This window comes from Homo sapiens, chromosome 13 (assembly GCF_000001405.40).
Source record: "Homo sapiens chromosome 13, GRCh38.p14 Primary Assembly".
Classification (NCBI taxonomy): Eukaryota; Metazoa; Chordata; class Mammalia; order Primates; family Hominidae; genus Homo; species Homo sapiens.
Genome location: NC_000013.11, coordinates 84,014,765 through 84,027,287, shown reverse-complemented (window position 1 = coordinate 84,027,287; position 12,523 = coordinate 84,014,765). Strand labels below are relative to the sequence as shown.

At 33.5% G+C, this 12,523-nt stretch overlaps 1 pseudogene, besides 1 other annotated feature; it reads right to left on the bottom strand.

The window, feature by feature from the left end:
• Window positions 964-1,531: an enhancer, noted in NCBI's record as "NANOG hESC enhancer chr13:84599892-84600459 (GRCh37/hg19 assembly coordinates)". NCBI's record gives its function as "activates a minimal SCP1, AML or CMV promoter by ChIP-STARR-seq in naive H9 embryonic stem cells {active_cell/tissue: H9 hESC(naive)}" and the evidence as "EXISTENCE:reporter gene assay evidence [ECO:0000049][PMID:30033119]".
• UBE2D3P4 (ubiquitin conjugating enzyme E2 D3 pseudogene 4) lies at window positions 6,461-6,897 on the bottom strand (annotated as a pseudogene).

The window sequence follows — 12,523 nt, the reverse complement described above, 5'->3', positions numbered from 1 at the left end:
CGCGGTTCTCAAAATAGTGAATGAGTTAGTTCTCACAAGATCTGATGCTTTAAGGGGCTTTTCCTCCCTTCACTCATTCTCCTTGCTGCCATCATGTGTAGAAGGATATGTTTGCTTCCCCTTCTGCCATGATTGTAAGTTTCCCGAGGCTTCTTCAGCCATGCTGAACTGTGAGTCAAATAAACCTCTCCCCTATAAATTACCCTGTCTCAAGTATGTCTTTATTAGCAGTGTGAGAATGATCTAAAACGCCTGTATATTTACAACACTTCTCAACATTATTAATCACTCAACATTATGATGTGAGAATTATATTTTATTTATCAGAGTATTGTGCAGTAGCTGGAATATTGGGTAAGATTAATAATTACACATATGAATATACTTAATATACTTGGACTGCTCTTTGCTCTTATTCTCTTTGCTCTTGGCTTAAATTGCCTCGGGGAGTCTTTCTATTAGATTGAAATGAGAATGCCAAAACAATGAACAGCATTTTAGATTTTGCTCAATATTATTTTAATTTGGGTAGTAACATCTAATCATCCATCTGAAAATAATAAAGGGACAAATATATCTTCTATGTCAGAAACTACCTTGGGCACAGGGGCATGACCATAAAGAATTCTTCAAGGCCTCAACCTTCATTGATTAGAAAGATTTATATTGTTAAAGCATACAGAAATGATCAGAGGGATCCAGGGCAGGAAGGTCATTTTTACAGCTATTGCAGAATCACAAATGTAACATCATACATATTAAACTGTAGGTGGTAAATGCAAAAATAAGAAAGAAGTAGTAGATGTAAGCTATATTATAAAAGAAGATAACAAGAAATCAGTGACTGTTTTAATGTCAACGAATAAGTAGATTGTTGATCTTTCTGTAATAAAAGTATATTTCTTGAAAAGGATAACAAGCTTTCATAAAGAAGATAAATTAAATATAAATAAAACCATTAAGTTAGTTAAGCATATACTATTTGTCCATTTTGAAAATTTAAAAAGGCATATTTACAACCACAAAGTTTGAGACTTAAAATAACAAGATGATTTTACAGGTGAATTTTATACTATCTCGATATTCATGCATCAAAGAATAAACTAAGTCTTAAATATGCTGTTTGTGTTCATGCTATGTTTTTATGATTCAACTTTTTGTTTTGGTTTGTTTCATTTCCTCAAGGGCTAATCATTGCTTTTCCCAGCAGGGGAAAGAAAGCCCACCCACCAAGTCCCTTCCAACTTTCACTGATGAGATCTTGGGGCTGTTTACATTAGCCATGCAAATTTGAAAAACCCTAACTGTCTCCTGGTGTTTAATCTCACAACTCAATTTGTTTCTGAAGCTGGTGTGCTTAGCAGCTGTGCAGCAGTGCTTTGTCTGTCCCAAAGACAAGAGACTATTTTTTTTTACTTAAAGAATAGACAGAATACTCCTCCAATAGCTTAGATCACAGCATTGACAGAGTTAATTAATGACCCAGAACAGTCACAAACAACCTAATTTCAGTTATAATTAAGAACAAAAATGTATGTGTCAGATATTTCCTGGAACTAGACCATATGTATAACAGTTACTCACAAACACACTTTGAAAAGTTGGGAATGACAAAATATCTGTGAGTAAGCAAATTCCCCCTCCCCACCAGCAAAAGCTTTTCCTTACAATTTATTTAAAAACATCTGTTTCTAGCAGACTTAAAAATATATAAAATTGGGTTAAAAAATCCTGCTGCTGTTAACACAAAAAGAGAAAGAGAATGTATCCGGTCTCAAAATGGCCCTCAGTTGAGCTGTTTCTGAAGAAAGTGCTTTTAACACAGGTCTCTGAAATTGTGGGCTGTAAATAAAAATCTCAGAAAATAAATCTCTGAAAATGAGTTACATCTATTTCTACTATTACTAGGAAATAAATGACCTCCAACTTTAGATTCCAGGGTTCCATTCTGCATTTAACAAAGTGGGTTTTCTTTGTTTGTTTTGTGGGTTTTGGGGTTTTTTTTTTTCCATCTAGAAAAGTTTACTAGCTTAACTTCAAAATTCTAAACATTGTCTATAAGGTCCTTCACAATTTGACCTTGATCAACTTCCTTTCCCAATGAACTTTTTTTATTTCTTAAATAGACGTTCTTTTTTTTTGAGATGGAGTCTCGCTCTGTTGCCCAGGCTGGAGTGCAGTAGCATGATCTCAGCTTACTGCAACCTCTGCCTCCCAGGTTCAAGAGATTCTCCTGACTCAGCCTCCCGAGTAGCTGGGATTACAGATGCCTGCCACGCCACCATGCCTGGCTAATTTTTGTATTTTTAGTAGAGATGGGGTTTCACCATGTTGGCCCGGCTGGTCTCCAACTCCTGGCCTCAGGTGATCCAGCCGCCTCGGCCTCCCAGTGTACTGAGATTACAGGAGTGAGCCATGGCGCCAGCCTAAATAGACTTTATTTTCAAGAGAGGTTTAAGTTCACAGCAAAACTGAGAGAATTAGCAGTGATTTCCCATGTATCCTCTGTGCCACATGTGTAGCTTCCTCCATTATAAACATTCTCCACTAAAGTGGTACATCTGTTACAACTGATGAACCTGAACTGTCACATCATTATTACCCCAAGCCCACAGTTCATGTTAGAGTTCACTCTTGCCACTATACATTTTATGAGTTAAGAGAAATGTATAATGACATTTATCCACCACTGTAGTTTCACACAAAGTTATACTGTCCTAAAAGTCTTTTGTGCTCCCGGTATCCATCCCTGTCTCCTTTCTAACCCCAGGCAACAACTGCGCTTTTTACTGTGTCTATATTTGGCCTTTTGAAGAATGTCACATAGTTCAAATTACATAATACATAGGGCTTTTTTAGGTTGGATTATTTTACTTAGCAATATGCATTTAAATATCCTCCATGTTTTCTCATGGTTGACAGCACATTTCTTTCCAATGAAGAATAGATTGCTTTGTCTTAAGTGTACCACAGTTTGTTTATCCATTCACCTACTGAAGGACATCTTAGTTGCTTCCAAGAGAATTTCGACATGCAAACAACTACAAAATAAATCTTAGACATAGATCTTACATACTTTCACCAAGAAATTCACTCAAAATAGATCACAGACCTAAATGTAAAATCCAAAACTATAAAAATCCTTGGTGATAACATAGGAGATAATCTAGATGTCCCTGAGTTTGGTTGATGACTTTTTACATGTAATACCAAAGGTATGATTCATTAAAGAAATAATTGATATCTGGACTTAATTTTTAAAAATGTGCTCTGTGAAAGACACTGTCAAGAACATTAAAAGACAAGCCACAGATCAGGAAAAAATATTTGAAAATAACATTGCAAATAAAAGATTGTTATTAAAAGTATACAGAGAACACTTAAAACTCAACAATAAGACAATAAAAAACCTGACTGAAAACTAGACCAAAGACCTTAAAGGACACTTCACCAAAAAAGATATTCAGATGGCAAATGAGCACATGAAAACATATACCATCATATGTCATCAGAGTAATGTAAATTAAAACAACCATGAGATATTACTTCATATTCCTTAGAATGGCCAATATCCAGAACACAGATACCACCAAATGCTGGGGAGAATGTGGAGTTAGAGAAGTTATCATTTATTGCTGATGGGAATGTAAAATGATAAAACAGTTTTGGAAGACAGTTTGGTGGTTTCTTACAAGACTAAATATACTCTTACCATGCACTGTAACAATTTTACTTCTTGGTATTTACCAAAATGAGTGGAAAACTCATGTCCACACAAAAAACTGCTATATACAGATGTTTATAACAGCTTTATTTATAATTGATGAAAAAAGCAACAGATTTCTCAGTGTTGCTAAAAATATCTGCCTCTTAGTGTTGCTGTGCCATTATTCATGATGATGCTGTTGTTGCCTTGCCTGCCCTCCTCATTCCTCACCTTTTAAATCTTATTTATAATTTAAGATTCTCTCCGCTTTATTAAGCTCCCCAAGTCTTATTTCCCCTAATTGGCAATAGTAAGGCCTACCTCTTTGCTGTTTTAGGAATACCATGGAAAATTCTCCTTATGATGGATGCTATGTTATGATAACTTAATACTTTCCCTTTTGAACTAGAAATTCCATAATATTGCCCTTGTGTAATAAACACTCATTATCCTCAAGTACTCATCAGTTACAGTGAGTAATCCAAGGGTTTTATTTTACTTAGTTGTCTATCTGATCACTTATTTTACCATTAAGAATTAGTCAGCATTGTCACTTGTCGATTTCAAATTTATAGCACTGAATGTCTAGTTCTTTTAAGTAATTTTTAAAATCAAATTTTGGGAGGTATGAATCAGATACAAATTGTTTTTGAGGCTCACAATAGGAGTAAATTACTTTCAAACATGAATAACATTCCTCTCCTATTTGTTCTCCTCTGTAACTTTTCTATTTCAGCAAATAGTCTGTTTTCATGATTTCTGTATTAGTGCTTGGCATAGGTTTCTTTTAGGAGATAAAGTATACATTCAATGGCCTAATTAATTATGTACTTTGCAGCATGGCTCTGCTTATAATTGTCTCTTACATCATGGCACTTAACTCCTAACTGAAAATTTAATCAAGCAGGGGCAATGTAGTTTAAGTAATGTAACATTTTAGATAAGAGTAAGGAGAACTTACAAAGAAGATAAACACACAATTCTAATTGAAGAATAAGTTGTCTCCATATAGTTAGAAGCAAATGAAAATAAAAGCACACTTGTGAGTTAATGTTGCATATGTATACTTTAAAATGGAAAAAAAAAGACAGATAAGAAGGCTGAAGAAAGCCTTTGACACTACACTTTAAGCATTATACATTATGTAATGCTATGAGGACACACTTTTAAAGTACAAATCAACCTTATGTGTGTCATTGCTTCCCTGAGATGGGATTTATGTGAAGCCACAGGAAAAAAGTTACAAAATGACCCACAACTTTCTTTCCTTTCTTGAGGAATTATTTGTTTCTTGAATCTGATCTTTCACTCCCAATTGGTAAATACTCTAGTAAGTGTAGTTTTAAATTAAAATAATTTCTTCTTCTTAGACAAAAAAGGGGGATTATGAACTCATAAACCTTTGCATATTGTAAATATTAGTTTAAGAATTCAACCTGTGGGCCATGTAAAGTGAAAGCATGCACATCAAGATCTGTGCACCTCTGATTCCTTCCCTCAGAAGAGAATGAGCCCACAAAGTAAATCATATCTAAGCTATTCCAACAAAAACCATAAAAATGTATTTTTCCTATTATTCAAATTTTCAATATTTACATGTATTATGATATGTGTTTAATTTCTGTTTATATATGTTTAGATTCTTTCTATAGCCAATCAATATAGTCTTTCCAAAATGAGAATAACATAATCCAGCTAGCATTTGCTTTAAAATTTTAGAACTAAAAGTCCCTTGCTTTTTATGGAATTAACTCACAAAACTGAATCACTATCTCCAAAAAAAAACTAGAAAATGTATAGTTAATCCATCTTTAAAAGTTGCCATGATATTTGGCATACAGTGACTCTGGAGAAAGTGTCAAGGATAATTCCTAAGCTGTTCTGGAAAGGTAATCTCCAAATCTGAAAACAATGTATTTGATGAAAATCATCTAGGTTCCCTTTAAGCAACTGGAGAAATTATGAGTTAGCTTTTCTCTCCCTTGAGAAAATTCTGTTTCATACCATGAGTGACAATAATTCACGGCATTCATTTATTTGTAACGTGAAGGAAAAACAGACATCTGAAGCAAGAAGACAGAGATTCAACCACATTCCTCCACTTACTAGCTTTGGGAGTTAGAGCAATTTTCTTAATCTCTTTGTGCCACTGTTGACATTGAAATTAATTACTCTTCCCTAAATTAATTCCTTAAAAGAATAGTTGCTAATCATCCTAAAATGTGTGGATGTGTAATTCTTGGCTTAGTGCCCTTTACCAAGATGACACTAGAAAACACTTTTAGCTCTATTCTGGAGGCCTGAATTCTCTAGTTTATCAACTTAGTTCCATCATTCAGGAGAAGCTGGGGAACTAGAAAGCTCCTTGGCAGTCCAAGCCAGTAATAAGTTTCTATTGGCTTGAAAATGATGCTCTTGAGACATAATTCTCAAAGTATATTCTATTTAGAAAATGAATATTCTATCTTCATGGGTCTTCTGCTTACAGTGTTAGAATATTCTCAGATCCCAAAAGTAAACATCACTCCCATTTTGAGAGTTCTCTAATGCCGAGTACATAGTCTTTGCCAGATAAAAAGGCTTTGTGTCCAGCACTTTCCTGTTTTCAATAGTCACAGGTTTGGTTTCTTACTCATGTGCATCTGAATATTGATTTACCACAATGGTGACAGAGACTCTAGATAGACTGATCAGACTCTCCCACAATCAAATCTTGTTTTAGCCCCTGTGTATGGAACTTAAATTATTATTTCTAACAAATATTAAAGCTTATTTCAACTATAATGTAGGTTATTTGGACATGAAGGTAGCATCACACATTATACTACTGAGCTCATTACTAAGATATTCTGTTATTCTTATTTCTGTCTGTTTTATAGATCTGTACAATCACTGGCATTGGGGGGGGGTCATCTGTGTTTGGAGTACATGCAGTGAACATATGGATAAAAGACCTTTAGAAATAGTTAAAGCAAGAAGCCATTGTGATTTTAGAGTATCACAACCAATGGTGCCATTACTAATAGTTAGATGATAAATTCTTACTTTAAATTCAACCTCAGGTGGCTTGAAGAGGTGGTTTGTAAAAAAATTAATTGCCAAAAAGGAATAGACAATCTTAAAGGGACTTTCATTAATTTTCATTAGGGTGACTTGCCAATGAAACATATCATCCCCAACTAGGGGAACTGGACTTATAAAGAAAATATTTTCATCATCTTTTTACTTATGAAATCCTGGTGGCCCTACTCTTCACTACCCTTTCTTCTCTCAAAGAGGTAAGGCTTTTTTAACATGCAGAGCAATCAAATGGTTTGGTCCTACTATTTTTTCCACAGCCTGCTAGGTTATATGTCTTGGAATTGCCAAAAATAATCACTGTAAAATCTAAATTATAATTCACATAAAGAGAGAATTCCTTAAAGAAAATGTAACAGAAAATCCTGTTTCTCTCGCATCTTGTCTTTAATACATTAATAATAGTGTGTCCTCAAATGAGAATTTAAATCTAGAAGCCAGAAAAGCTGAAATTCCAGTTTCTGAGAACTTATCCTGCATAGTCTTCCCACAATATGTAAAACACTTCAATCCTGAGGGCTCCATATGCGAGTTTCCGTGTGAATACACCTACCATTTCAGACATGCACTCAGGATCCCACCAGGGCACCAACCTCACCTGTTGTCAGCTTTCTCTGGGTGCTACCTTACCTTCCTTTTAGGAAAAGTTCAACCCTTTCAACAGGTGGAGCTTTCACTCTCTGTCTATGACCTATGTCTTATAACCATTAATAGTGCCTTGTCTATTGGGATAAATATGGATGCCAATCACTACCTTAAGATTTAGAATCAAGACAGTCTCCTTTCATCCCCTGGATGAGAATTGAAGATGGTTGTCTCTTTCCAACAGATTTCCACTAATGAGATTTTGGGTTTAATTATGCATATTTAAAAATATATATTTATTCTTAAAACAAGATTGATAGAACATTGAAAAAAACCGTATTTAAAAACGACTCAAAATGGCAACAGTCCAAGTGTCCAACACAAGAATAGAAAAACTAATTATGATGTATTACATCCAATGGAAGGCTCATCGGCAATAAAAAAAGAACACATTTCCAAAACAGGCAAAATGTGGATGACTCTCAAAAACATCGTATTGGGCAACAGAAACCAGACACAAAAAGATATACATTGAGGCTGGGCACGGTGGCTCACACCTGTAATCCCAGCACTTTGGGAGGCCAAGGCGGGAAGATCACGAGGTCAAGAGATCAAAACCATCCTGACCAACACAGTGAAATCCCGTCTCTACTAAAAATACAAAAATTAGCTGGGCATGGTGGCATATGCCTGTAGTCCCAGCTACTTGGTAGGCTGAGACAGGAGAAATGCTTGAACCCAGGAGGCAGAGGCTACAGTGAGCCGAGATCATGCCACTGCACTCCAGCCTAGGCAACAGAGTGAGACTCCACTTCAAAAAAAAAAAAAAAAATACACATTGAGTAATATTACTATTCATGTAAAGTTCTAGGATAGGCAAAGCTATAATTCTTAGAAATCAGTATAGTGGATGCCTAGAGTAGAAGATTGTGATTGACTAAAAGGAACAGAGAGAGCGATGCAGGGAAACAGTAATATCCAGTACCTCATCTGGATAGTATCTACAGGAATGTATTCATATATTAATATTCTTAAAGCTGGACCTTTAACATTAATGCATTTTACTGGATGTAAATTATACTTTAATAACATGCTGATTATTTGATTATCATAAATAATAAGGTAGAATTCAAAATTGAATAAACATAATTGCAATTTGCAGGGCTCTGGCTCTGCTTTTTTAGAAAATTTGATCCTATTTTTGCCATGAGAGGCACTGTATACTTTACTGATCTTTCTGAAGTACGTGTGAACTTGAGAGGATTCTAACAAATGGGATTGTGGTTTGCCGGGGCACCTCCTTTTACTTTTTTTCAGTTATTCCTGTCAAACATCTTTTCCACTAACTTCACAATAAACAAAATTGTAGCTAGCCTCTGACCACTAGCAGAAATATTTCAAAACTTATGGGAGTATGGTTGGCAGCACCATCCCTATTTCTTATTTGTTTGTTTATTTGTATGCATCAGTGTTCTATAAAATAAATACTGGATGTGCTCTTGGAAAACAATCTTTCTCCATATATGCATATTAATAATTATTTTTAAATGACTGCATATAATAATATGCTAAGAAAGTAGGAAATATTTCTGACGTCATGTCATGAGAATGGTTTTATATGTTACTCTTTGTGGCAATTGAAAAAATATTCAGATATATTGAGCTTGAGTGTATATAGTTATGTATTTAAACATCTTACCAAAATTGTGTTCAGCATTTTTTCACATAGCCATAGCAATATATTTTCTGCCTTACCAATAAAATGTCAATGTGAGTGATAGTTTTTTATGTAAACACAGCAAATTCTAAAATGTTACATGCAAAGGCTGTGAATAAGCATTTTTAAATTGACATGTTATTTAATAGTTGTCTCTAGTTTTCATTCTTTTGCATTTCTTTTATTATCTTTGTTAGTCTCAATCCAATCTAGCCAAAATATTATAGAGAAAAAGCTTGCTGGTATTTTGATTATCTTAATATGGCTGATGTCATTTGGAGTTGATTGATGTATTCAAAGATGAGACTCAAAAACTGGAAAAGAGTTTAGTCTCATATTTTTTAAATTTCAAATTATTTGGGTTGTCTATCTAGTTGTACAGATATATCCTGATGTACTGAATTAGGAATACCAGCTAGTATGACAAAAAAAAAAAAAAAAACACTCAAGGAAATTTAATGTAGCCCCCAGTAATAGGGCAGATGGCTAATTTCTGAAACAATATGAATGCATTCCAAATTTTGAAAAGAAATTTGTTTATATACCTTACGGTAGTTATACTACCATCTTTTAGTCAGCCTGTGAATAAACTATCAGTTTGAATAATATATTATACTTATTCATACAGTTAACAAGCCTTATTGAGATTCAGTACTGTGGGATGCTTAGATGTACTCCATAGAGATTACACTTTCTTTTCTTATTCAAATAGACTCATCATATTTTTTAAATTAACATCCTTTGTAATAATAATAAAGCTTAAATTGTATGTGTGTGTGTTTCTGTGTGTGCGTGTGTGGGTGTATGTGTGTGTGATAGAGAGAGAAACCTCAATGAGGGATTTATAAAATGCTTCCAACTAAAGATTCAAATTAGAAGCAATTCAAGCAATGATGGTTTAGCATGTGCTTTGAAGGGAAATTAAATGCAATGTTCATGAAAAACAACAGTTCTACGCAGTTTCAAAAAGGTGAAAAGGAGTAGCTAAAGGAGCATCAATAAAGATAGTTGAAATTACCAAAATAGAGACAAAAAATTACGTAAATTGGTGTATGAATATTGTTAATAGAGCAGTGAGGAGTCAACATACATCAATAGGAATTAAAATAGCTGTAGAGTATGGACAGTTATGGCTCACGCAGAAAGTGGTAATTATTTGACTCTTCTAGTTAAAAGACTTTCTCTTTTCCTCATACTGTTGCCTCCAATGATCCCTTCAGATTTCTATTTTCCTTCAAAAGTATGCTTTCCTCCTGCCACACTGCCTATTTACAGTTCTCTAAAAAATCCAGACTATTTTTCTAATGAGTTAAGATTTATCTCCCGCTTCCTGGAACATGTATTTTTCCTGCACTCCTTCTTTTGCATTATCATTACATCTACTACAACACTTAAAACATAATTCTAACTATTTCTATGTCTTTCATCCATAAAAATGCAAGCTGTCAATTGCAGGAAACATATTCCATTATGTCTATAGCTCTACATCTACTATAAAGTCTGGATATCATAAATGTTTAATAAATATGTTAATAAATTTTAAAACAGCCATCTAGAAGTTTTCTTCAAGGTATCGCCAAATGGAATGTAAGAGTTTACTGGAATTGAAGAATATTTAGAGATATACACAAATGTCTTATTTTTATTAGAGTTTTAAACTACTCCATTTGTGCCTGGAATCTCAATTTTTTAAAAAAATCTGAGCATCATTTTAAAAATCAAACGAAACAACCTCTCATAAGGAAAAACTTTAGATGTCTTTCTCATCTAACTTCATAATAAAACTCTCCAATATTATTATTTATTTACTATTTTATCTTCACATTTAAAAAATAACATATTTTACTGCTTTTCCTCAATCAATTTTAGGCACAAATATCCAGTGATAATCATGTATATTTCACTGTCATACTTTCTTCTTTCTAATAGCATATTCCTATTTTTGGTTAAATCACCATTCTGCGATTATTTTATTAAGGACTGTAAACACCATTTACTGCTGAGCCATGAAGCTTTCTATGCATTTTAATAAACATTTTGTTCTTCCTTGACTTAATATTTGCGTTATTTTAAATTGCATAATGTCATGCAATAAATATATAAGTAAATAATAAGTAACATTATGATGCTTCATCCAGAAAGCAATCCCTACCTTCCTTCAATTTAGTACCAAAAATGTTGAAATGATTACATTTCAATGTATCTCTGCCACGTTTCAAGTTGTGTTAATGATAGCTTATTCTGCATTGCCATGTGGCTTGAAATTAATATTTATTGCTTGTATCAGATAGAAGGCCTTTTATTGAAATAAACAGAAAGCTATGCAAAACTAATTTAAACAACACTAAGACTTCAAAGCTAGGCCATGGTTAGAGTTGGCTGCTGTGATGGTAGAGTGGTCCACCACGTTAACAAAAGTGGTTGACATTCACTGATACTTTTGTCAAGTTTTACTAATACTTCCCAAACTCCTAGAGGATTCAGACATGAGTTTACAAAGCATTAGATTGTGATATATATCCAAGAGAACAATAATATGCTGTGCTCAAAATTGTCTCCTCCTTCCAGGTAAAAGTGTCCTAGTTTTGACAAATAATTATTAAATAATTTATTAAATAATTATTTGTAATTACAAAATGCATTTTGTATTTTTGCATTTTGCATTTTTATTACAATAAGAACGCAAAATTTTTATTGGAAAACTGAAAAACTTTGTTGAAACAGTCTTCTGATTCATTCCAAAGATTCAACAGAAATACCTAAGCTTATCTTATCCAAGGATATTCGAGGAGTAATAACAATAACAACCTATCAGAAAACAACTATATACACCCTAAGTTGTGAATATCTTTGCAAGGCACTACTGTTTCTCTTCTCATAAATAAAAAACATTATTAATTTAATATTTATTAAAAATAGGATAAAACAAAACCAGCCATTGAACCACCTGGCTAATAATTTCACACATTTGACACTTCCAGTTTATACTTCACATACCTGCCAGAATATTGTACACATGTTGATTATGCAACATCACAACATCATTGCAAAAAAACCTTATTAAAGCACTGGCTTAATAAATCAAGTAATGCCATCTCAAGATCCAATCCATCTATCAAGACCAAGTCTAAATAATTTTTAAAAAGCATTTCTACTTTCTTAGAGATCATTTACAGTTTCTCAGAAAGTCTAGAGAACTGCTTATATGCCATTTATATTACAATGATATATTGCTTTTCATGATATTTACTTGGTTTATTTTTTTTCTTTCATACTTAGTTGTAAATTTCTTGAGGTAGGACACCACATTTTATAAATCTTTGCTATCTTTATAGACTTGAGCACAGTACCTTGTATTTATCAAATACTTAATATTTGTTGAATAAATGCATTTTTATTTGACTCTTCAAAGAGTCTTTCTGCTTGAAAGAAGGCAG